Source organism: Homo sapiens, chromosome 1, assembly GCF_000001405.40.
Source record: "Homo sapiens chromosome 1, GRCh38.p14 Primary Assembly".
NCBI classification, from domain to species: domain Eukaryota; kingdom Metazoa; phylum Chordata; class Mammalia; order Primates; family Hominidae; genus Homo; species Homo sapiens.
This window is the reverse complement of record NC_000001.11, coordinates 63,735,250-63,747,677: the sequence shown is the minus strand read 5'-3', so window position 1 is coordinate 63,747,677 and position 12,428 is coordinate 63,735,250. Positions and strand designations below refer to the sequence as shown.

At 43.0% G+C, this 12,428-nt stretch overlaps 1 annotated feature.

Moving 5' to 3' along the window:
• Positions 1,106-1,400: an enhancer, noted in NCBI's record as "tiled region #14006; HepG2 Activating non-DNase unmatched - State 2:TssF, and K562 Activating non-DNase unmatched - State 21:Repr". NCBI's record gives its function as "activates a minimal TATA promoter and a strong SV40 promoter by Sharpr-MPRA in HepG2 and K562 cells {active_cell/tissue: HepG2 | K562}" and the evidence as "EXISTENCE:reporter gene assay evidence [ECO:0000049][PMID:27701403]".

Here is a 12,428-nt window from a genome sequence, read left to right as displayed (position 1 = left end):
CTTGGACCTCCTGAAAGGCACAGAGAGGAGAATGCTCCCTGGCTGACAGTGGGACTCCTCCCCAAGACTCTTCCAAGAGAGAGCTGCCTGGAGGGTGACGTAAGGTATGGCATAGAGTTACAACAATTCCGAGCCCCTAAATCTTGTGTTCCGACCCCTCGGCTGAGCTCCACACACAGCTGGTCTTCTGGCTGTGCCTGCTTCCATCACTGATTCCTGCTTAAAGCACATGTTTTCTGCTCTGCAAGTGCACTCAGTGCATCTGGGAATGCACGAAAGCTCCTGCCTCCAGCCTCTCAAGATACTAAACACACCTTACAAACATGTGTCTTTCCATTGTCAAAGAATGCAGCATGGAATGTTTGGGACATATGGTTTAAAAGAAGCCTCAGTCAACAATACCAACTAAAAAACCACCTTACTGAGGTGGGGGCTCAATAAAGCATTTCTCCAGGCAGTCGCATGTAGGCCACACACTCATCTTCCACACTGGTTGAAAGCATCTAGAACCTGGTGCCACGGGCTCCTGAAGTCACCCAAGGCTAAGCAAAGCCATCTTCCTGAAACATTTATTTTATCTAAGGGAAGCAAAAATAAAAAGCTTCACCTTTACCTTAAGAATATAAAATATATTTAATATAAATGTGGCAATTAATATAACAAACTTCATAGTTCAAATGAAATTTTTAGATAAGACGCAAGATTTGGTAGTAAGTTTGCATCGGAGGTAGTAAGTTTGCTGCCATAAGGGGTGTTTCTACAGGAAAGCTTTAAACATGTTGGGCCTTACTCATGGTCTGAAGTGCAAGAGAGAAGGCGGCACCACAGAGCCGGAGTGCTGGGTGTGGGGTCCAGAGGCCTGCAGGTGGGCCTAGTCTCTGCCACCTCCTTACTGTGTGACCTCAGCACTCTTCTGGAAGGTCTAGCGGGAATGTTGGTCTAACAGAGATGTTAATCCTGGTCCCCTGTGCCTCCCAGGGCTGCTGTGAGAGTCAAATGAAACAATGCGTGTGAAAAGAGCCTTAGAAACGGCAGAGTGTTCCATAAATGTAAGTTCTTATGATTCAGCCTTGTTGTTTTTGGAAAGCCTCTTTCATTTTATAGATCGCATGTATTCTCCCCGCCTCCCATAGTCAGATCAAAAGTGTTTGCCTTTCCCTTCAGAGCGAGGAACCTCTGATCTGACACGAAGCAATGAAGTCACCAAGCTTCCTCTCACTCAGCTTTATGCCCCAGCCTTGGGAGAAGCATGCTCCCTGCCAGCCCACGCCACCTTGTTCTGAGGGGAAGTTAGTCACCACTGTCTGAATTTCATTATGCAGGTCTCCAGACAAGCAGAGGGGAAAAGTGCAAAGGAGCAGGTCAGCGTCTGAAATGTGAGAGGGTAGCAGTCTCTGAAGTGTATGGGAATGGGAGGAAACCTAATACTGCTCCCAAGGGGAGGGGGAGCATTGCATCATGTGGAAATAATTGCAGGCGGTCAGCACAGCTTGGGGTTTGGGGAGGCAGGATAGCCCACTGACCCACTTGCAAAAGGGTTTTGACACTTTTCTGTTGTAAAGGGTACTTGCATGGGGACACTAATACATCAGCCTGGGTGCCTGCAGGGACTAGAGATTAGAGCAGGTCCTAAGAGACTAGATTCTATGGGATTCTGCTTGCAGGTGGTTTGAACCCAAACTAGAATTCTGAAAGGAGCCCCAGAGTTGAGAACTGGAGAGGATGGGGCCCACGAATTAGTCAAAACTACCATTTATTGATGTATTATTTAATACATCCTAAGTACATACTTCAGTTGATCCTCACAATAACCCTATAGGTAGGAATTATCATCCCCATTTTATGTACAAAGAAACAGACTCAATGAGTTGAGCGACTTTTCTGAGAGCACACAGCTAGTAGGAGGCTGAGCCAGAGTGTGAATCCAAACCTGTGCAAATGCAGATTTCTTGATTGGAAACCCTTTGATACAACCGTCTTTAAGTAGAAAGAGGAGCCATGATGGGAATTGGGTGGAAAGCGAACCAAAGTGCAAACACAAAAGGAACAAAGGAGGAAGGTCTGGATTTCTGACATGTTGCTGACTTGCTCTGGGCTGGAGAAAACATGAGTATGGTTTCTTCTGTGTGTTTGTAATGTAAGCATTGGCCACCTTTCCCCAGTAGGTAACCAGTGGCCTTACTGCAGAGTTTCTGTGGGGCTGGGTGAGAGTGGGGCAGCCACTATTAGAAGGAAATGCAAAAGCCACAAGCATAAGAAAGAGGGCATGATAGAGGGGAGCAGACTTCCTGTCACTGATGAGATTTTCCTCTGGTGCTTTTGTCAGCTCTCTATTGCTACGATAATGCTACATAACAAACCATCCCAATGTCTAGTGTCTTTAAACCACAGCCATTTACTATTTCTCATGCATCTAGGAGCTGGCTGAGCAACCATGCTGGTCCAGGATGGGCTCAAAGTATGCAGCTGAGCTTGTTATGTGACTGCCCACAGCTGGAAGGTCTGCCAGAGTTGGCTGATCTAGGATGGCCTCAGCTGGGAATATGCATCTCTGCTTCATGTCATGTCTCATCTTCCAGCAGGCTAGTTCAGGATTGTTCTCCTAATAAAGGCAGAGGGGCAAAAGAAAGTGGAAATGTTCAAGAACTCTTGATCTTAGAATTGACCAAGATGGCCAGGTGCGCTGACTCACGCCTGTAATCCCAGCACTTTGGGAGGCTGAGGCGGGTGGATCACGAGGCCAGCAGTTCAAGACCAGCCTGGCCAAGATGGTGAAACCCTGTCTCTACTAAAAGTACAAAAATTAGCTGGGCGCGGTGGCAGGCTATAATCCCAGCTACTTGGGAGGCTGAGGCAAGAGAATCACTTGAACCTGGGGGATGGAGATTGCAGTAAGCCGAGATCACGCCATTGCACTCCAGCCTGGGCAACAGAGTGAGACTAAACTCAAAAAAACGAACTGACCAAGAGGTCTTGGTTTAAGACCTTAGGCTTGGAACCGATATACCACTACCTCTGCCACATTCTACTGGCTAAAAGTAAGTCACAAGACAGCCCAGATTCAAGGGGTAGGAAATAGACTCCATTTCTTAATGGAGTTGCTGGCAAAGTCACAGTGCAAAGTACTTGAAGAATTGCAGCCATTTTTTGCAATCAATCTGACATGGAAACCCATCCCAGTCCCAAAAACAGATGAAAGGCAGTGGCATTTCCCAATATTCTGGACTATGCCCACTTCCTTACCAAAAACCCTTTGCCCACTAACTGCCATTTCCCTGCCCAGTCTGTCTGTTTTATTAACACTAGACTGGGGAGGGAGAGATATAATGACTCTAGAATTGGGCAGATAAAACAATGTGTCTGACTTCTTTTTTAAAGGTACTAAAATTCAGACTCTTTACCCACTGACTTCATCGCTGTAGTTTTTGTAACTACGAAAGTTTCATTAGAAAGTATACTTAAACTTTCTCAGTGAGCCATCCCAGCCTGGCCATACTTGTATGAGAATGCTGTCAAATTCCAGGAAACAGATGTTCATTTAATAAGATGAATTTTTACTAATACTTCCACCCCACTGTTAATACTGTGTTTGTGATTTGAATTTAAGACACTAAACTTCTGCAATTTATTTCCTACAGTGTGGCTGAGATCATAGGCTTCCCAGAGGTACACCTTTGAAATCCCCTACATATGAAACTATTGGCATGATATATGATATTTTTATGCCAAGAAGTGACTGTTACAATGTATTGGAAAGAGCAATGGGCTTGGAATCAGAAGACTTGGCTGGTGCTGAAGTCAATGGAGCATAGTGGTCAGGCATACTCTCTGATGTCCCATTGCCTGGATTTGAATTCTGGCTCTGTCATATGCATTATATAGCCTTGGGCAGGTTACTTAGCCCCTCTGTGTCTCAATTCCCCCATCTATTAAACGGGGATAATAAAACTACCAACCTCACAGGGATAACATAATTCAAATTAAATGCCGAGAACAATGTACGCAGGAGTACATACCACCAGAGCATTGTCTGTAGTTACTGGCTTAACTCTTGCTGCCTGGATATCATCTGTAAAGTGGGAGCAATATTCCCTGTCAAACCTACAGGACTAACTTTACTGGATCCTTCAACTTCAGACCTCAGATGGGCTTTCCTGTCCCTGAAACCGTCTTGGAAACAAACCTTGGTTCAGGCTGACCCATAGGATAGGGCATTTGGAAGGAGAGAGTGGGATCCAGTCATTCCTCTACTAGTTTTCTTCTATTTCTTTGTCTGTGTCATTAATTCCATGCTAGCATACTCTTCTGTGTTCCTGCTGGATGCTATGCTCAGCTAGTCTCCACTGCTCTCGGGAAGCCAGTAGAAATACATGAAGGGATTCCTTCTCACTTCCTGCCCCTCTCTGTTTCATCAGCCATCATCTGGAAAGGCAGGACACCTACTCTAAATGACCTGTGGCCACTCTATCCCTGAACATACAAGAAGAAGTCAGCTTGTTGTGTGTGGTTTCTCTGCCCTTGGAGTCACTCCCTTCCAAGTCTCCATCTTTGTTTAACCCTGAGCCTAGGGAGACTGAAGAGTGCACAACCTCCCCAAGAGCTGAGAAATAATTTCTGTGCTATCTGAAAGGCAAGACATGGAGGAGCAAATGAGCCTTCAAAACACAGCAATGTGTACTTTCATTTGGGGACTGCTTCTTAGGTACTTTTACCAAGTCCTGGCAACCCTCATTAATTGATATTTCCTCAAAGTGCATGTTCTTCTCCATTTCTACTACTCATAGCTTAGTTCTGGTCTCACCCTTAGGTCTGATTCACCTGGAACATGGCAACTGTTTCCTCCCTGCTTCATCTTCTCCTTTGATGTCAGAGAAAATTTGCTAATTAGCCATTTTTCAGTAGTTGTCCAGCACCTACAAGATAGTCAAAACCTTGCACATGTGACCTCTTACAGGTCACCTGTGGTTTTCCTCCATCCCCATGATATGCCACTTCCTCTTAAACACTGCAACCAAATTGAACCCCTCCCCATGCCCTTAACCCAAAATGCCCTTTCTCATGAAATGTCTCTTCCTTACTTCTATTCTCTCAAGCTTATGTCCTTTTTGCTTAGGATTGCTTTGGCTATTCAGCTGTTTTTTGGTTCTACATGAATTTTAGGATTGCTTTTTCTAATTTTGTGAAAAATAACATTGATATTTTGATAGGAATTGCATTGAATCTGTGGATTCCTTTAGGTAGTAGGCTCATTTTTAACAACATTGATTCTTCTGATCAATGAGCATGGGATATTTTTCCGTTTGTTTGTGTCATCTGCAATTTTTTTCATCAGTGTTTTGTAGTTTTCATTGTAGAGATCTTTCACCTCCTTGGTTAGACATATACCTAGGAATAAAATATCTTTTAGTCTCCTCTTCATCAGGGAAATTTTAGTGCCATTTAGTCCTTCATAATCCCCAACTGTACACCAGGTTACTCGTGCCTTTCTTCCCACCTGTCTCTACTCTACTCCTTTTCTCTTCCCTTCCCTCCCTCTCTCCCTCCTCCCCCTCCCCTGTCCCCTTCCTCCTCTTCCTTTTCTTCTTTTCCTTCTTTTTCTTCTCTTTCTCCTCTTCTTCCTGTTCTTTCTCCTCCTCTTCTTTCCTCTTCCTCTTCTTCCTAAAACCTCATAAACCAATTTCTGCCAGCTTCTGCAGCTTCCTCACTTTTTTCACTATTCATAGAATGACAGAGAGTTAGGACTTTACTCTGGATTAGGCTTTGGCTTAAGGGATGGTTGTGTCTGGTTCTTCTATCCAGACCATTCAAACTTCCTCCATATCAGTAATAAGGCTGTTTTGCTTTCTTATCATTTGTGTGTTCCTTGGAGTTGAACTTTTAATTTTCTTCAAGAACTTTTTCTTTGCATCCACAATGTCGCTACTGAGCACAAGAGGCCTAGTTTTTGGCCTATCTCAGCTTTCAACATGCCTTCCTCGTTAAACTTAATTATTTATAGTTTTTTAAAGTGAGAGACTTGTGATTCTTCCTATCACTTGAACTCTTGGAGACCATTGTAGGACTATTAATTGACCTAATTTTAATATTGTTGTTTCTCAGAGAATAGGGAGGCCCAAGGAGAGGGAGAGATATGGGAGAATGGTGGGTCTTTGGAGCAGTCAGAATACACACATTTGGCCAGGCACAGTGGCTCACACCCATAATCCCACTCTTCCATCAATCATCCTCCCCACAGGAACACCAAATTTAATATCTACACAAAAAAGCACCTTCAGAAGAACTGAAAATCAAGTGAGCAATCACAGTACCTAATTTTACCTATAGATTCCAGAAAAAGATAATGAAGAGGGCAGGAAAGACAGTCTTGAATTGCCAACATCACCGCTCCTCAATCCTCCAGCAGTGGCTGCAGGGCATGGAGAGAGAATCTGTGCACTTGAGGGAGGGAGAGCACAGTGATTGTGGAACTTTGCATTGGAACTCAGTGCTGCCAACACTGGGCAGAACAACATCCATGGAGGGAGCCTTTAGACAAGTTCTAGCCAGAGGGAAATCATCCATTCCAGCAGTTGGAACTTGAGTTTCAGCATGCCTCACCACCACAGGCTAAAATGCTCTGGGGTTCTAAATAAATTTGAAAAGCAGTCTAGGCCACAAGGACTGCAATTCCTGGGCAAGTCCTAATGCTGTGCTGGGGTCAGAGCCAGTGGAGTTGGGGTATGCAACCTAATGAGACACAAGCCAAAGCAGCTAAGAGAGTGCTTGCACCACCCCTCCCCAACCCCAGGCAGCATAGCTTGTAGCTCTGAAAAAGACCCCTCCTTCCACTTGAGAGGAGAAGGAAGATTAAAGAGGACTTTGTCTTGCAATTTGGATACCAGCTTGGCAACAGTAAGACAGGGCAGCAGGCAGAGTCCTGAGACTCCCATTCCAGAATCTATCTCCTGGGCAACCTAGACACACCCTGGACCAGAAGGGAACCCAGTGCCTTGAAGGGTAGGACTCAGTCCTGGCAGGATTCATCACCTGCTGACTAAAGAGCCCTAAGCCCTTAAACCCTTAATAAACAGCAGTGATACCAAGGTAGTGCAACACGGGCATTGGATGAGACTCTGAGACGTGGCTTCAGGTGTGACCCAGTACATTCACAGCTGTGGTGACTATGAGGAGGGACTCCTTCTGCTTGAGAAAAGCAGACAGAAGAGTAAAGGGGACTTTTTCTTACAGCTTAGGCACCAGCTCAGCCATAGTGGAGTAGAGCACTAAGCAGGCTCTTGGGGTCTCCAGCTCTGGGCCTTGGCTTTGGATGGCATTTCTGGACCTGCCGTTGGCAGAGGGGAGCCCACTTCTCTGAAGAGTGAGTCTCAGGCCTGGCAGCATTCACCACAAACTGACTGGAGAGACCTAGGGCCTTAAGTGAACATTGGCAGTAGCCTGATAGTACTTCCCACCAGCCTGTGATGATGATGGACAGAGGGAAAGATTCTTCTGCCTGGGAAAAGGGAAGGGAAGAGTGGAAGGACTTTGTCTTGTGGCTTGGGTGCCAGTTCAATAGAGTACAGGTAGTTTCTAGGGTTTTCAACTCCATGCTTTGGCTCCTGGATGGCATCTCTGGACCCATCTGGGGCCTAGGGGAATGAACTTGTTGCCCTGAAGGGAAGGACACAAGCCTGACTCGCTTTGCCACCTGCTGATTGTAGAGCCCTAGGTCCTTGAGAGAACATAGGCGGTAGCCAGGTAGTTTTACAGTGGGCCTTCAGTGAGACACAGTGCCATGCTAGCTTCAGGCCTGACCCAGTGCAGTCCCAGTGGTAGTGGCCACAGAGGTGCTTGTGTCATCCCTTCCCCAGCTCCAGACAGTTAGCACAGACAGAGAGACTTCGTTTGTTTGACAGAAAGTAAGGGAAGAGAACAAGAGTCTCTGCCTGGTAATCCAGAGATTTCTTTCAGACCTTATTCAAGACCTCCAAGGTGGTACCTCTACAAGTCTTCAAGAAACACAGTGTTACTGGGCTTGGGGTGCCCCCTAATGCAGGTAAAGATGCAGTGGCCAAAAACTCGAATCACAACACCCAAGTGCCCTTGTGTACCTGGAAAGCCTTCCCAAAAGGACAGGTATAAACAAGCCCAGACTGTGAAGACTACCATAAATACTTAACTCTTCCATGCTCAGACACTGATGAACATCCACAAGCACCAAGGCCATCCAGGAAAACATGACCTCAACAAACGAACAAATAAGGCACCAGGGGCCAATTCCAGAGAGAGAGAGAATTCACTGTTTTGAGGAAACTCAAAGAAATCCAAGATAACACAGAGAAGGAATTCAGATTCCTATCAGATACATTTAACAAAGAAATTAAAATAATTAAAAAGAATCAAACAAATTCTGGAGTTAAAAAAATGCAGTCAACATACTGAAGAATGCATCAGGTTCTCTTAATAGCAGAAATAATCAAGCAGACAAAAGAATTAGTGATCTTGACGACAGGCCATTTGAAAATACACAGTCATCTAATCAGCTACCAGTCTGGCTAGAATAAAGCAGGCAGAAGAAAGTGGAAGGGACTGACTTGCTGAGTCTTCTGGCCTTCACCTTTCTCCCATGCTGGATGCTTCCTGCCCTCGAACATCAGACTCCAGGTTCTTTGGCTTTTGTACTCTTGGACTTACACTAATATTTTTGGTAGAGAGAGGGTTTTGGCATGTTGCCCAAAGTGGTCTCAAACTCCTGAGCTCAAGCAATCCTCCTGCCTTAGCTTCCCAAAATGCTGGGATTATAGGCATGAGCCACCATGCCTGGCCTCTAGTTTTTTTATGTAGACTCTTTTAGCTGTAAACTTCCCTCTTCATACTGAGAACTGATAAGAACTCTGTCTCCCCCATTATAAAACTTTTTGCTGTTCCTGTTTATGTCTTATTGTATTTTTTATGTCTTGAAAAGTTGTTGTAGATATTATTTTTGATAGGTTCATCTTTTTGACTTTCTACTTGTGACGATTAATATTGAGTGTCAACTTGATTGGACTGAAGGATACAAAGTATTGGTCCTGGGTGTGTCTGTGAGGGTGTTGCCAAAGGAGATTAACATTTGAGTCAGTGGACTGGGAGAGGCAGACCTACCCTCAATCTGGGTGGGCAACATGTCAAAACCCTGTCTCTACCAAAAATACAAAAAAGAAAAAATTAATTGGGCATGGTGGCACGCATCTGTAGTCCCAACTCATCAGGAAGCTGAGGTGGGAGGATAGTTTGAGCCCGAGAGGTTGAGGCTGCAGTGAACCAAGATCAAGCCACTGCATTCCAGCCTGGGCGACAGACTGAGACTCTGGAAAAAAAAAAAGAAAGAAAAAAAGAAAGAAAGAAAAAGAAAGAAAGAAAGAAAGAAAGAAAGAAAGAAGGAAGGAAGGAAGGAAGGAAGGAAGGAAGGAAGGAAGGAAGGAAGGAAGGAAAGAAGGAAGGAAGGAAGGAAAGAAGGAAGGAAAGAAAGAAAAGAAAGAAAGAAAAACTTCAAATAAGCAATCTAATGATGCATCTTAAAGAAGTAGAAAAGCAAGAACAAACCAAACCTGACGTTTGTAGAAGAAAAGAAATAATAAAAATCAAAGCAGGGCCGGGCACGGCGGCTCATGCCTGTAATCCCAGCACTTTGGGAGGCCAAGGCAGGTGGATCACAAGGTCAACAGATCGAGACCATCCTGGCCAACGTGATGAAACCCCATCTCTACTAAAAATACAAAAATTAGCTGGGCATGGTGGTGCACGCCTGTAGTCCCAGCTACTCAGGAGGCTGAGGCAGGAGAATCACTTGAACCTGGCAGGCAGAGGTTGCAGTGAGCTGAGATCACGCCACTGCACTCCAGCCTGGTGACAGAGCGAGACTCCATCTCAAAAAAAAAAAAAAAAAAAATCAAAGCAAAATAAAATAAATAAAACTGAAATGAAGAAAACAATACAAAAATCAACAAAACAAAAAGTTGTTTTTTAAAAAAGATAAATGGAGTTGATAAACCTTTAGCCAGACTAAGAAAAAAAAGACAGAAGACCCAAATAAATAAAATCAGAGATGAAAATGGAGATATGACAACTGATACTATAGAATTTCAAAGGATCTTTAGAGGTCACTATGAGCAACTATATGGCAATAAATGGGAAAACCTAAAATAAATGGATAAATCCCTAGACACATACAACCTACTAAGATTGAATCATGAAGAAATCCAAAACCTGAACAGACTACTAACAAGTAACAAGATCGAAGCCCTAATAAAAAGTCTCCCAGCAAAGAAAAGCCTGGGACCTGATGGCTTCACTGCTCAATTCTACCAAATATTTAAAGAAGAACTAATACCAATTCTACTCAAACTATTCTGAAAAACAGAGGAGGAGGGAATGCTTCCAAACACATGCTACAAGGTCTTCATATCAAAACCAGAAAAGACAAATTTAAAAAGAAAACTACAAACCAATATCCTGTAGTTTTGATGAGCATTGACACAAAAATCCTCAACAAAGCACTAGCAAACTGAATTCAACAGGACATTAAAAAGATCATTCATAATGACCACATGGGATTTATTCCAGGGATGCAAGGATGGTTCAACATAGGCAAATCAATCAAAGTGACACATCATATCAACAGAATAAGGGACAAAAACTATATGATCATTTCAATTGATACTGAAAAAAACATTTGATAAAACTGAACATCCCTTCACAATAAAAATCTTCAAAAAACTGAATATAAAACCTCAACATAATAAAAGCCATATACAACAGACCCATAGCTAGTATCATACTGAATAGGAGAAAACTGAAAGCCTTTCCTCTAAAATCTGGAACAGGACAAGGATGCTCACTTTCATCATTTTTATTCAGCATAGTCCTGGAATTCCTAGCCAGAGCAATCAGTCAAGATAAATAAATAAAGGGCATCCAAACTGGAAAGGAAGAAGTCAAATTATCCTTGTTTGTAGACGATATGATCTTATATTTGGAAAAACCTAATGACTCCAAAAGAAACTATTAGAACTGATCAACAAATTCAATAAAGTTGCAGTATACAAAATTGACATGCAAAAATCAGTAGCATTCCTATATGTCAACAGTGAACAATCTGAAAAGAAATTAAGAAAGTAATTTCATTTGCAATAGCTACAAATAAAACTAAATACCTAGGAATTAACTTAAAGAAGTGAAAGATCTCTACAATGAAATCTATAAAACATTGATGAAAGAAATTGAAGAGCAAACAAAAAATGGAAAAATATTCCATGTTTATGGATTGGAAGAATTGATATTGTTAAAATGTCCATACTACTCAAATCCATGCAACCCCTGTCAAAATACCAATAAAATTCTTCACAGAAATAAGAAAAGTCCTTTAATTTATATGGAACCATGAAAGACCCAGAATAGCCAAAGCTATCATGAGCAAAAAGAACGAAACTGGAGGAATTACATTACCTGACTTCAAATTATACTACAGAGCTACAGTAACCAAAACTGCATGACACTGACATAAAAACAAAAACATAGACCAATGGAACTGAATAGAGAACCCAGAAACAAATCCATACATCTACAGTGAACTGATTTTCTACAAAGATTCCAAGAACATACACTGCGGAAAGGACCGTCTCTTTAATGAATGGTGTTGGGGCCAGGCGCAGTGGCTCATGCCTGTAATCCTAGCACTTTGGGAGGCTGACGCAGGTGGATTGTCTGAGCTCAGGAGTTCAAGACCTGCCTGGGCAACACGGTGAAACCCCATCTCTACTAAAAATACAAAAAAATTAGCCGAGCATGGCGGCTTGCGCCTGTAGTCACAGTTACTTGGGAGGCTGAGGCAGGAGAATTGCTTGAACCCGGGAGGTGGAGGTTGCAGTGAGCCGAGATCGTGCCACTGCACTCCAGCCTGGGTGACAGAGTGAGACTCTGTCTCCAAAAAAATAAATAAATAAATAGTGTTGGGGAAATTGGATATCCATATGCAGAAGAACAAAACTAGACCCTTATTTCTTGCCATATACAAAAATCAAATCTAAGTGGATTAAAGACTTAAATCTAAGACCTCAAACTATCAAACTACTACAAGAAAACACTGGGGAGACTGTCCAAGACATTGACCTGGGCAAAGATTTTTTGAGTAATACTCCGCAAGCACAGGCAACCAAAGCAAAAATGGACAAATGGGATCACATCAAGTTAAAAATCTTCTGTGTGCCAAAGAAAACAATCAACAAAATAAAGAGACAACCCACAGAATAGGGGAAAATATTTGCAACTATTCATCTGACAAGGGATTAATAACCAGAACATATAAGGAGTTCAAACAACTCTGTAGGAAAATATCTAATAATCTGATTTATAAAAGGGCAAAAGAGGCCAGGGGCAGTGGCTCACTCCTATAAACCCAACACTTTGGG